The sequence below is a fragment of the Homo sapiens genome, chromosome 19, assembly GCF_000001405.40.
Source record: "Homo sapiens chromosome 19, GRCh38.p14 Primary Assembly".
Taxonomy (NCBI): Eukaryota; Metazoa; Chordata; class Mammalia; order Primates; family Hominidae; genus Homo; species Homo sapiens.
Genome location: NC_000019.10, coordinates 58,440,380 through 58,453,282, shown reverse-complemented (window position 1 = coordinate 58,453,282; position 12,903 = coordinate 58,440,380). Strand labels below are relative to the sequence as shown.

The 12,903-nt window shown below is 50.6% G+C and overlaps 1 protein-coding gene, 1 long non-coding RNA gene and 1 pseudogene across 8 annotated transcripts in view, besides 4 other annotated features; all 3 read right to left on the bottom strand.

The window, feature by feature from the left end:
- ZNF324B (zinc finger protein 324B) overlaps positions 1 to 12,903 on the bottom strand; it is a 39,438-nt gene that overhangs the window by 4,551 nt on the left and 21,984 nt on the right. Inside the window, exons 1-2 of one of the 7 annotated variants that reach the window (XM_005258915.5) lie at positions 1,579 to 1,661; positions 17 to 96 (exon numbers count right to left, since the gene is read on the bottom strand). The exons of 1 other annotated variant lie outside the window; for it this stretch is intronic. The gene's annotated coding sequence lies outside the window, so the exon portion shown is untranslated. Of the gene's footprint in view, positions 1 to 16; positions 97 to 500; positions 1,488 to 1,529; positions 1,662 to 12,903 lie in introns of those variants that run through there. 5 more of the 7 variants (XM_047438808.1, XM_047438806.1, XM_005258918.5 and 2 more) reach the window with 5 other exon arrangements.
- Positions 1,222 to 1,651: a silencer, noted in NCBI's record as "silent region_11083". NCBI's record gives its function as "represses an Ori minimal core promoter by ATAC-STARR-seq in GM12878 lymphoblastoid cells {active_cell/tissue: GM12878}" and the evidence as "EXISTENCE:reporter gene assay evidence [ECO:0000049][PMID:35858748]".
- Positions 1,629 to 1,955: a silencer, noted in NCBI's record as "fragment chr19:58962695-58963021 (GRCh37/hg19 assembly coordinates)". NCBI's record gives its function as "represses an EF-1alpha promoter that drives an FKBP-Casp9 reporter gene in an ReSE screen in HepG2 liver carcinoma cells {active_cell/tissue: HepG2}" and the evidence as "EXISTENCE:reporter gene assay evidence [ECO:0000049][PMID:32094911]".
- On the bottom strand, positions 7,804 to 8,355 carry LOC100419848 (zinc finger protein 250 pseudogene; annotated as a pseudogene).
- On the bottom strand, positions 8,782 to 12,835 carry ZNF132-DT (ZNF132 divergent transcript). The gene has a single exon (NR_186311.1). It is a non-coding gene; the product is annotated as a ZNF132 divergent transcript (long non-coding RNA).
- Positions 11,933 to 12,442: an enhancer, noted in NCBI's record as "H3K27ac-H3K4me1 hESC enhancer chr19:58952208-58952717 (GRCh37/hg19 assembly coordinates)". NCBI's record gives its function as "activates a minimal SCP1, AML or CMV promoter by ChIP-STARR-seq in primed H9 embryonic stem cells {active_cell/tissue: H9 hESC(primed)}" and the evidence as "EXISTENCE:reporter gene assay evidence [ECO:0000049][PMID:30033119]".
- Positions 12,592 to 12,721: an enhancer, noted in NCBI's record as "active region_15198". NCBI's record gives its function as "activates an Ori minimal core promoter by ATAC-STARR-seq in GM12878 lymphoblastoid cells {active_cell/tissue: GM12878}" and the evidence as "EXISTENCE:reporter gene assay evidence [ECO:0000049][PMID:35858748]".

Genomic DNA, 12,903 nt, shown 5'->3' with positions numbered 1-12,903 from the left:
CCCCTGCTGCGCTTGCCTGACATTTCCAGGCTGCTCATCCAGCCTGAGGGACTGGATGATCCCCACCAGTCGTCATAGGGGTGCAGCCCCAAGAACCTGTGAACACAGGGGAACTCAATCCCTTCCTCCCTCCACATGGCGCCCCCTCCTCAATTTATTTATTTATTTATTTATTTATTTATTTATTTATTTATTTATTTTTATTTTGGAGACGGAGTCTCACTCCGTCACCCAGGCTGGAGTGCAGTGGGGCAATCTCGGCTCACTGCAAGCTCCGGCTCCCGGGTTCACGCCATTCTCCTGCCTCAGCCTCCCGCCACCACACCTGGCTAATTTTTTTGGATTTTTAGTAGAGACCGGGTTTCACTGTGTGAGCCAGGATGGTCTCGATCTCAGCGCTCCCGCAATTTCTTTCCCACATTGCTGCCACCCTCTCCTATTCAGCCACCTGCCGAACTCCTCCCCTGATAGCCTCAGGCACCCCAGCCGGTTTTCTTTACCCTCAAGCTGTAACTCCGCACGCCTGACTGCTCATCGCCTTCTTCAGTCCAGTTTATAGGCCCTGTCCTCAGCCCAGGACACCAACAACGTCAGGTCCAGTGACATGACCAACCTGGGACATCCCAGACTCTTGATCTTTCCCCTGAAGGAAACCTGCTTTCCTTTCAATTCTCCTTTCTATCTACAGCAGCTCTCTTCTTCCAGGCGCTCAGGCTGAACAACATGGGGTACTTAGTTCTTCAAACAGCCCACACCTGATGCATCCGCAGATCCACCAGAATTCACCTGGTCGCCCACCTCCACTGCTGCCCAGACTGTGGCAGTCGGTTCTTCCCTTCATGCCGACACCCCTGCATGTCTGTTCTCCACGCAACAAACGGTGGAACCGTTTTAAAGTCCCAACTCAGAGGATGTCCTGATTCTGTTCAAAACTTCTATGTCTCCCGACGCCCTCGAGATAAAGCCCACTCCCTCGCCTGCTACTGCAGCCGCACACATCCCCTCTACTCCAGCTCCACATCGAGAGCGCTCAGTCCCAGAAGCATCTGGGCTTCGGCTCCCCTCCCAGGTTTTGCACACGCAGGACTCTCCCCTCGGAGCCTCCTTCGGGACCTCAGCCCCCTGGCTGCCGGAAGTCGGGAGCTCACCAGTGCCCTGGACGCAGGAGTTTGCACTGACCCCCGCAACCCCCCCAGGGCAGGGAGAGGAAAGACGACTAGGCGAGGTCTAGGAAGCGGCCTCACTCCGTGGGGGCGCAGTCTGTGTGAGCAGGGACTCCCCCGCCCCCCCGGCGCGGGCTTGTCAGCGCCACCGCCGCCAGCGGAACCCGCAACTGGGAGGGAAGAAAGGCATGGACCACCCGGGACCGCCATCCCCGCCAGCAGCCTCCCGCGGCTGCCCCGCGCCTCAGCCTGCCCGGCAGTCATGGGCGCAGAATGCCCAATGCGCTGCCTCCTGGGCTTCCGCGGGGCGGGAGAACGCGTGGTTCCCGCCGGGGCCCGACCGCCCCCGGGCCGACCACGTCATACTCGAAGATACCGAGGCTTGGGGGCGCGGCCGGCTGCTCGTGGTCCGTACCTTCCTGGCCGCCCGCCTCGGGCCCCGACCCGCGCGCCACAGCCCAGACCACCGGTGTGGCCTGACGCGAGCAGCCAAGTGACAGTCCCAACGCCGGAAGTCCAGCCCCCAGAGCTCACATTGCCCCAATACGCGCGCAGACGCTTGCGCACAGCCTTCTGGGTTATGTGGTTCCTGCCTGTTTTTCGGCGCGGAGGCGGGGCCATTACCAGTCTCCATGGCAACGGCTAAGCGCCGCCGCGCTGGGCGCCTGGAAATGGAGTAGCGCAGCTGCCGCGGGTTTCCAAGGGCTCCGTGGCACTGGTTGAGTCGCCCGGCAGGTTGTCCCGCGTTGGGGATTCCCAGTTCCTGGCACCCACCTAAGCAGCCCTGGAGACTAAACCCTGCAGGTGTGAAAGCAGAAACTGCGGAGGTTCCAGAAGGCAACACCAGCAGGTAGCAGGGAGGAGAAAACGCACCGGGTAGGGCAGGTGTAGGTGGAGGAGCAGATGCCTGGAGCTCCGGGTTCCCTTCCCAGCTTTGCATCTCACTGACTGTGCATCCTGGGCGAGGGTTTGATCTCTCTGTGTGTCAGTGTCCCGTAAAGGTTTAAGGTCCGTTTTTCAACCTCTACACCAAGAATTCTCAGCCTGTAATGACACTACCCGCTTGTCATTTGTCTTGATTCTGTGATTGTTCTTGGACGCTCGCCCAAAACTTGTTTTCCTTGTAACTTGGACGAGCAGAAGGTAATTCCCCAGCCTTGCTTGTCCTTAGACCATCTAGTTCTTGCTTTGCCCCACACATCACAACATGGATGCTTTGTTCCTTTTTTCTCTGGACCAATCTAAGTGTCTTTGACACATAACAACAAAAGGCAGGGCAGTCTCAATGTAGACTGACCATGTTGTTGGCAGAGAATAAACGATTCTCTCTTTGTTGCTTCCCTGTGAGGGTCTTGTTTTTAGGATCCTTAGACAGTTCTCAGATGTCAAGTACGTTAATTCATTTTGTCTTCCTCTATACCCACCTCCATCTATAAATATCTGTCTACTGTCAGCTATAACTGTCCACAGAATTGATTCTACTTGTAGATCCCTATAGTGTAAGATAGCTCGACAATTTTTGAATGTTTTTATTTAAATTTTTCCTGCTTTGAAAGAATTTAAGAACACTTAAGTACTATTGTGATTTAATCAAATGCTTAGAGGCATTATTAACATTTCAAGCAATTTTTTTTTACTTTTTTTTTTTTTTTTTTGAGACAGGGTCTCACTCTCTTACCCAGGATGGAGTGCAGTGGTGCATACTCGGGTCACTGCAACCTCCGCCTCCCATGCTCAAACAGTCCTCCAACTTCAGCCTCCCAAGTAGCTGGAACTACAGGCAGGAGCCACGATGCCTGGTGTATTAGTCTGTTTTCACGTTGCTGATAAAGACATATCTGAGACTGGGTAATTTATAAAGAAAAAGAGGTTTAGTGGACTCATAGTTCCACGTGGCTGGAGAGGCCTCACAATCATGACAGAAGGTGAAAGGCACGTCTTACATGGCAGCAGGCAAGAGCAAATGAGAGTCAAGCAAAAGAGGAAACCCCTTATGAAACCATCAGATCTCGTGAGACTTACTCACTACCACAAGAATAGTATGGGGGAAACTGTCCCCATGACTCAGTTACCTCTAACTGGGGCCCCTTCCACAACATGTGGGAATTATGAAAGCTACAATTCAAAATGAGATTTGGTTGGGGACACAGCCAAACCATATCATTCTGTTCCTCGCCCCTCCCAAATCTCGTGCTCACATTTCAGAACCAATCGTGCCTTCCCAACAGTCCCCCAAAGTCTACTTATTTCAGCATTAGCTCAAAAGTCCACAGTCCAAAATCTCATCTGAGACAAGGCAATTCCCTTCTTCCTATGAGCCTGTAAAATCAAAAGCAAGTTAGTCACTTCCTAGATACAATTGGGGTACAGCCGTTGGATAAATACACCCATTCCAAATGGGAGAAATTGGCCAAAAGAAAGGGGCTAAAGGCCCCACGAAAGTCTGAAATGCAGCAGGACAGTCGAATCTTAAAGTTCCAAAATAATCTCCTCTGACTCCATGTCTCACATCCAGGTCACACTGATACAAGCAGTGGGTTCCCATGGTCTTGGGCAGCTGCAGCTCTGTGGCTTTGCAGGGTACAGCCTCCCTCCCAGCTGCTTTCATGGGCTGGTGTTGAGTGTCTGTGACTTTTCCGGGTGCGTGGTCCAAGCTGTTGGTTGTATCTACCATTCTGGAGTCTGGAGGATGGTGGCCCCCTTCTCACAGCTCCACTAGGCAGTACCCCAGTGGGGACTCAGTGTGGGGTCTTCAACCCCACATTTCCCTTCAGCACTGCCCTACCAGAGGTTCTCCATGAGGGCCCTGCCCCTGCAGCAAACTTTTGCCTGCTCCAAATCTGGGCATTTCCATACATCTTCTGAAATCTAGGTGGAGGTTCCCAAACCTCAGTTCTTGAGTTCTGTGCACCCACAGGCTCAACACCACATGGGAGCTGCCAAGGCTTGAGGCTTGCACCCTCTGAAGCCACAGCCTAAGCTGTACCTTGGCTCCTTTTAGCCATAGTTCAAGCAGCTGGGATGCAGGGCACCAAGTCTGTAGGCTGCACACAGCAGGGGGAGCCCACGAAACCATTTTTTCCTCCTAGGCCTCTGGGCCTGTGATGGGAAGGGCTGCCACAAAGGTCTCTGACATGTCCTGGAGATATTTTCCCCATTGTCCGGGCGATTAACATTTGACTCCTGGTTACTTATGCAAATTTCTTGAATTTCTCCACAGAAAATGTGTTTTTCTTTTCTGTTGCATGGTCAGGCTGCAAATTTTCTGAACTTTTATGCTGTATTTCCCTTTTAAAACTGAATGCTTTTAATAATATCAAAGTCACCTCTTGAATGCTTTGCTGCTTAGAAATTTCTTCCACCAGATACTTTATTTTTATTTTTATTTTTTTTGAGATGGAGTCTTGCTCTGTCACCCAGGCTGCAGGGCAGTGTTGCAATCTTGGCTCACTGCAAGCTCCGCCTCCTAGGTTCATGCCAGTCTCCTGCCTCAGCCTCCTGAGTAGCTGGGACTACAGGCACCCGCCATCATGCCAGGCTAATTTCTTTGTATTTTTTTAGTAGAGACGGGGTTTCACCATGTTAGCCAGGATGGTCTTGATCTCCTGACCTCATGATCCACCTGCCTCAGCCTCCCAAAGTGCTGGGATTACAGGCGTGAGCCACTGCACCCGGACCAGATACTTTAAGTCATCTCCCTCAAATCCAAAGTTCCACAAATCTCTACAGCAGGGGCAAAATGCCACCAGTCTCTTTGCTAAAACATAGCAAGCATCACCTTTACTCCAGTTCCCAACAACTTCATCTCCATTTGAGACTACCTCAGCCTGGAGTTCATTGCCCATATCATTATCAGCATTTTGGTCAAAGCCATTCAACAAGTCTCTAGGAAGTTCCAAACATTCCCACATTTTCCTATCTCCTTCTGAGGCTTCCAAACTGTTCCAACCTCTGCCTGTTACCCAATTCCAAAGTTGCCTCCACATTTTCGGGTATCTTTATAGCAGTACCCCACTCTACCAATTTACTATATTCATCTGTTTTCACATTGCTGATAAGGACATACTTGAGACTGGGTAATTTATGAAGACAAAGAGGTTTAATGGACTCACAGTTCCATGTGGCTGGGAGGCCTCACAATCATGGCAGAAGGTGAAAGCCCTGTCTTACATGGTGGCAGGTAAGAGCAAATGAGAGCCAAGCAAAAGAGGAAACCCCTTATAAAACCATCAGGTCTCTTGAGACTTATTCACTACCACGAGAACAGTGTGGGGAAACTGCCCCCATGACTCACTTATCTCCCACTGGGTCCCTCCCACAACGTGTGGGAATTATGAGAGTTACAATTCAAGATGAGATTTGGGTGGGGACACAGCCAAACCATATCACCTGGCTAATTTTATTTACTTTTTTTGTAGAAACGAGGTTTCACCATGTTTCTCAGGTTGGTCTCGAACTCCTGTACTCAAGCAATCCACCTGCCTCAGCCTCCCAAACTGCTAGGATTACAGTCATGACCCATCATGTCCAATCTCAAGTAATGTTTAATGTTTGGAGACGTTTAACTTCTTAAACACTTTATTTTTACATTATCCATCTAATGTGTAATTCTTCAGGCAAATGTTAATTACTTAATACTTAGAAAAATGCTAATTGTTTGAAACATTCTTAATGAATTGGGCATGAAATAAAAATAGCAACAAATTGCCTTCTGTACACACAAGAGCCTCCTCTTTTTGGCTCAGACCCCTACCCTGCACAGGATTAGCACTAAGGGTGGTCACCTGGGGCAGCTGATTGACCCTAGCCAACGTGGTCCTTTGGTTAAGCTCCTGCATTGTCGGCCAGGCATGGTGGCTCACGCCAGTAATCCCAGCACTTTGGGAGGCCGAGGCAGGCAGATCACTTGAGGTCAGGAGTTTGAGACCAGCCTGGCCAATATATGGTGAAACTCCGTCTCTAGTAAAAATACAAAAATTAGCCAGGCATGGTGGCACACGCCTGTAAGTCCAGCTATTTGGGAGGCTGAGACAGAAGAATTGCTTGAAACCGGGAGGCAGAGGTTGCAGTGAGCTGAGATCATGCCACTGCACTCCAGCCTGAGCACCAGAGTGAGACTCTGCCTCAAAAAAAAGAAAGAGAGAAAAGAAAAGAAAGGACGAGAAAAGAAAGAAAAGGAAAGGAAAGCAAAGGAAAGGAAAGGAAAGAAGAAAAGAAAAGAAAAAAGAAAAGACAAAAGGAGAGAGGTCGGGTGCAGTGGCTCATGCCTGTAATCCCAGCACTTTGGGAGGCCGAGGTGGGGGGATCACGAGGTCAGGAGATCGAGACCATCTTGGCCAACATGGTGAAACCCTGTCTCTACTAAAATACAAAAAATTAGCCGGGCGAGGTGGTGTGTGGCTGTAATTCCAGCTACTTGGGAGGCTGAGGCAGGGGAATCTCTTGAACCCGGGAGGCGGAGGTTGCAGTGAGCTGAGATCGCACCACTGCACTCCAGCCTGGTGACAGAGAAAGACTCCATCTCAAAAAAAAAAAAAAAAAAAAAAGAGAAAGAAATTATCCAATCAGGCTCCTTGCTTGGAATGGGGTCATGTCCATGTCAAACCCCATCATGAGTGAGCATGATACCACCCCAATGTGTGCAAGGCCCCTACCATCCCTCCAAGGTAGTATAAACAGGAAACAGGGAGTGACTTACATTGAGCAACTGGGAAGTCACCATAAAACAGAGATGGGCTTCCACCACAGGACCCAGTGGTGTGATAGCTCTGCCAAGGTCCCTCAGCGGGTTGCAAAGTACAACATGGGTTCTGTCAGCTTCTCCACATGCAGGGCGATCATGGTACAACATGGGTTCTGTCAGCTTCTCCACATGCAGGGCCATCATGGAGTGTCTCCTCAGGGAGGAATCCTTCTACACAAGGTTTAGCTGTGGCTGAAGGCTACTCATGTAGGGCTGGGTTTTGTTTTGTTTGTTTGTTTTTTGAGATGGAGTTTCACTCTGTTGCCCAGGTTGGAGTGCAGTGGCATGATCTTGGCTCACTGCAATCTCCGCCTTCCAGGATCAAGTGATTCTCCTGCCTCAGCCTCCTGAGTAACTGGGATTACAGGTGCCTGCCACCATGCCCGGCTAATTTTTCTGTTTTTAGTAGAGACAGGGTTTCATCATGTTGGCCAGGCTGGTCTCAAACTCCTGACCTCAAATGATCTGCCTGCCTCGGCCTCCCAAAGTGCTGGGATTACAGGCGTGAGCCACTGCACCCAGCTGTGTTTTTTGTTTGTTTGTTTGTTTGTTTTTGGTGAGGGAGACAGGGTCTTGCTCTGTCACCCAGTCTGGGGTGCAGTGGCTCTAACTCAGCTCACTGCAACCTCTGCCCCCTGAGGTCAAGCAATTCTCCTGCCTCAGCCTCTGGTGTAGCTGGGATTACAGATGGGCGTTACCATGCCCAGCTGATTTTTGTATTTTTTGTAAAGAGGGGGTTTGCCATGTTAGCCAGGTTGGTCTCAAACTCCTGACCTCAGGTGATCCCCCTGCCTTAGCCTCCCAAAGTGCTGGGATTACAGGCATGAGCCACCACACCTGGCCAGTGTGAATTCTTTTATACTAAATAAGGGAGGTGAAGACTTTCCTACATTTACTATAATCAAAAGGCTTTTCTCCAGGGTGAAGTTTCTGGTGCCAAGCAAGGCAGGAGCTGTGGCCGATGCTCTCCCATGCTGGCTGCACTCATAGAGGGTTTTTCCAGTGTGAATCACTTTGTGCACATCAAGGCAGGAGCTGCAATTTTTTGCTCTCCTACATGCTACACTCACAATGCTGTAAATTGCTGGTGCTAAATAGGATTAAAATTGAGAATAGGCTTTCCAACATTAGCTGCATGCACTGGGCCTCTCTGATGAGAATTCTGCAGGATGAGGTTTCATATTTCACTGAAAGCTTTCATGTAGTTATTGCATTTGTACAACCATTTTCCGGTGTTAATTTGTTTTTGCTAATGAAAGCAGAACTCTGAATATAACATGTATGAACCTCAAGTCAGGTACCAGGGAAGCCACCAGGACAGCTGGCAGTGCCCCACATTCCCTGAACTTAGGAGTCCTTCATTAGGGTATGACCATTTTGATACAGAGGAGAGTTTTGCAAAATTTTGCTCATGGCTGGACCACACTCCTTGCGCTTATGGGGACTTTCTCTGGGGTGAACATATTGGTGCTCAAAGGAGGTAGAGTTCTGGCTGGAGGATTCCCCATGTTACTATACTTGTAAGGGCCTTTGAAGATGTGCATGTACTCCTGCTTTCTCAGGATGAAGACAAAAGTGAAGGCCTTCCCATGCTCATAATACACTTGCAATTTTTTCCACTGTGAAGTTTTTTGGTAGGAGAAAAGGCTTGCTTCCCCTCAAACACCTTTCCATATGCTGTGTATTTATCAGCTATCTCTTCAGTGTCAGTTCTCTGTAGGTTCTGCAAAATGTGGAGCTGCAGGGCCCTAGTGTCTGGTGACAGGTCAGTACCATGCAGTGAGCGAAGTCCAGGTCTTGAACCATTGACACCTATGCCCATACTCCTCAAATGGAACAAGCCAGTCTCACGGAAGAAGAGGTTTTCAAAAACTATTTAGGTATCTATGTATTTATTTATTTATTTTAGAGATAGGATCTCGTTATGTTGCCCAAGCTGGACTCAAACTCCTGGTCTCAAGCGCTCCTCCTGCCTCAGCATCCCAAGTAGTTGGGACTGTAGTTATGAGCCACCATGTGCAGATAACAACTATTTAAAGATACATTATCCGTTCAAGACACATTAAAGGGAGGCCAATGGTAGAAGACCTGGCCACTGGAGGGGAGGACGGGAGAAGGGGAAAGAGTGAATCTTGGAAGACAGAGAGGAAGCCATCCAGGGAACAGGAGTCAGGGCAAAGTAGGATAGAGTGTCAGAAGAAGGTCAGGAAAATTTTTTTTAAAAGGCACAGCTATACATCCTGGTGCCAGGACAACAGAGGGCACAACTCAGGTACCAGGTGAGCCACCAGGGCACTGCCAACAGCTCTGCCACAGCTGTCTTCCACTCAACAGAACTGGTGCACCATGGGGCCTCTCTGTCCATGGCCTAATTCAAGCCACCCTGTCCACCAGCCAGGTCTCTTCATTTGTTCTAGTTAGGTGATCACATGGCGGGGGTGGTGGCAGTGATCCTATACAGCTCTCATCAAGTGGTTTGTGAGAAGGCAGCCCACGTCAAGGTGATCCACCCCATGACAAATCACCGTAGGTGAAGATCACCTATGCAGGTATATAGCTGGAAAGAACTGAACTTCACAAAGTCAATGCTCAGTGACCCCACAATCAATGACCATGTCAGTGCCCACTGGGACTCACAAGGGACAGCTGGCAGAAAACTCCTACTAGAGTGAGGGAATGTGGCAGAAAGGACAGAAAAGTCACAGATCCTGACAGGGTAACCTAGCCAGGAAACGACCCAGCTGCATGTGATATGCTACACAGGTTTTGAGACTTCCGATTCCAGGTGGGCATTGAGGGGTGAGATTTCCGGCACCGCCATGATGGTCCTCATTTTGTGGCTTGTGGGTTGGGCTACAGGAGGCCTCTAGAGCTGGACAAGGGCGTGGGAGTGGGTGCAGGGACCATCACTGTGGCTTCACAAGGTTGTCAAGATCCCAGGGAAGGTGTGGGGGTTGTTTATGCAGCAGCCAGGGATAAGTAGCAGTGAAAAGTGAAGCCGGCTGGGCTTCTGGGTCCAGTGGGGACTTGGGGAACTTTTCTGTCCGGCTAAAGGACTGCCAACACACCAATCAGCGCTCTGTGTCTAGCTAAAGGTTTGTAAACGCACCAATCAGCACTCTGTAAAAATGCACCAATCAGCGCTCTGTGTCTCCCTAAAGGTTAGTAAACGCACCAATCAGCGCTCTGTGTCTAGCTAATTGGCTGGGGACTTGGAAAACTTTTCTGTCTAGCTAAAGGATTGTAAATGCACCAATCAGCACTCTGTGTCTAGCTATAGGTTTGTAAACTCACCAATCAGCACTCTGTAAAAATGGACCAATCAGTGCTCTGTAAAATGGACCAATCAGTGCTCTGTAAAATGGACCAATCAGTGCTCTGTATAATGGACCAATCAGCAGGATGTGGGCAGGGCCAAATAGAATAAAAGCTGGCCACCCAAGCCAGCAGCGGCAACCCGCGGGTCCTCTTCCATGCTGTAGAAGCTTTATTCTTTTGCTCTTCGCAATAAATCTTGCTGCTGCTCACTCTTTGGGTCCACACTACCTTTATGAGCTATAACACTCACCACAAAGGTCTGCAGCTTCACTCCTGAAGCCAGCGAGACCACAAACCCACTGGGAGGAACAAACAACATTGGACACGCCACCTTTACGAGCTGTAACACTCATTGCAAAGGTCTGCAGCTTCACTCCTGAGGTCAGCGAGACCACGAACCCACCAGGAGGAATGAACAACTCTGGATGTGCCACCTTTAAGAGCTGTAACACTCACTGCGAAGGTCTGCAGCTTCACTCCTGAAGTCAGCAAGACCACGAACCCACCAGAAGGAAAAAACTCCAGACACATCTGAACATCTGAAGGAACAAACTCCGGACACACCATCTTTAAGAACTGTAACAGGGCCGGGCGCGGTGGCTCACGCCTGTAATCCCAGCACTTTGGGAGGCCGAGGCGGGTGGATCATGAGGTCAGGAGATCGAGACCATCCTGGCTAACAAGGTGAAACCCCGTCTCTACTAAAAATACAAAAAAAAAAAATTAGCCGGGTGCGGTGGCGGGCGCCTGTAGTCCCAGCTGCTCGGGAGGCTGAGGCAGGAGAATGGCGTGAACCCGGGAAGCGGAGCTTGCAGTGAGCCGAGATTGCGCCACTGCAGTCCGCAGTCCGGCCTGGGCGACAGAGCGAGACTCCGTCTCAAAAAAAAAAAAAAAAAAGAACTGTAACACTCAACACGAGGGTCCGCGGCTTTATTCTTGAAGTCAGCGAGACCAAGAACCCAGAGGAAGGAAACAATTCCGGACACAGCAGGACACTGGCCAGTGCCAGGGCCAGCAGCACCTCCCAGAGGGAACAATGGAAAGGCGGAGGAAAACCTAGATTTCATGTGTAGGGGAAAGAGGAGACACAGTAGCCTTACCTAGTGGGCACTGGAGTACAAAGCTCTGTAGTATCATGTCACTGTAGAAGCCCCCTTGGACCTCACTAAGGAGCCCCACATTCTTGGAAGATGTACTGACCCTGTCCTCAAAGGTCATTAAGCCCTGCAACACCAAGCCAATGGGCAGACAGATGTGATCTAAGCACTGAGCGTGAGCCCTAGCCACTGGTCCTCCAACCTAAAACCCTCCTTCCCAAATCCTATCCTCAGGCCGTTCACTGGGCCAGGCCACCAACATAATGCAGTCTGGACGTCCTGAAGCCACACCAGAATTCTATATATCCAGAGGCCCATTTGACACCTCCACTCACAGGTCTCCAGACAATTCAGACTCTATACCTACAAAATCCATCGCTAATCTTCCATGAAACATCCTCCTCCTGCCAACTGCCAACCTCTATTCTCCACAGGAGGCATCCTAATTCTTCCTAACTACTTGGGATGGTCCTTCACCCCTACTCATGCTTATTCCACTTATCTAAGGTAGCAAAAAATTCCATTAGCTCTATCTTGAAGATCCACTGGGAATCTGATCACTTCTCCCATCCTTCTTGCTTCCGTTCTGGACAGGCCACTATCATAACTGTCTGGAACAATACTGCAATAACCTCCCCCACAGTCTCCCTGCTTCCAGCCCCACTACAACCACCTTCTCCAGTAGTGTGTTCATTCAGCAACCACTGAAATACTTTCCAAATTCTAACTCAGGTCATGTCCATCCCTTTTCTGTTCAACACCTTTCATGGCTCCCAGGCGCCCTCGGTGTGCCAGGAGAGGCAGGACTCCTCTTACGCTCTCCACTCGCTGCCAAGGGGGCATGAGAGCCTGCCTGAACGCTCAGGTCAGGGTCAAGTCCAAGTCTTCGCATATGCAGATCCCTCCTCCTGTACCCTCCACGTCTCAACAAACTGGATTCTGAAATGGTGACCCCCAACCTGTGAACGCTCCACACTGTTCAGTGGGGCCCGCAGAGGACCTGGGGCAGATACTTCTCAATCGGAGACTTAGGACAATGGTGCTGAGTCCAGCGGAGTGGGTGCCAGGAGACCTTTGGCGCACGTTCCATGCCTACAGCCGGGCGCACACTGGGTCAAGACCTCCCAATGCGTAGCTTTTCTTGGCCTCGGCCTCGCGCTCCCTAAAGCCAACATAACGCCAAGGGCGACGACTCCCGAGAGCCGCGGACACCTCCGCGCGGTGCAACCTGAGGGTCCCACTGGGCCGGCTTTATCTAAGGCACAGGGTGGGGAAGGGGGGTGCGGTGTTGTGGGGGGCGAACACTGGGCTCAGGGGCGATATTCGCCGCGGTGGGGGCGCTTGTATGTCAAGAAGGCGGAACTTCCCCGACTCTCGTGCCTTCCTCGCTCCTGTTTCCATGGGCCCAGGGAGCCTCCAAGATTCCGTCCCTCGCCTGACAACGCGGTCCCTTCAGAAGCAGACAAAATCGAGAAATGCCAAAGTGATGGTCCGAGGACGACGACGGAAGTCCCGCTGCCAGGCTGTGATTGGCCAGCGTCTTACACTCCGCCCGGAAGTGCCTGTCTCCTCGGCTGCCAAT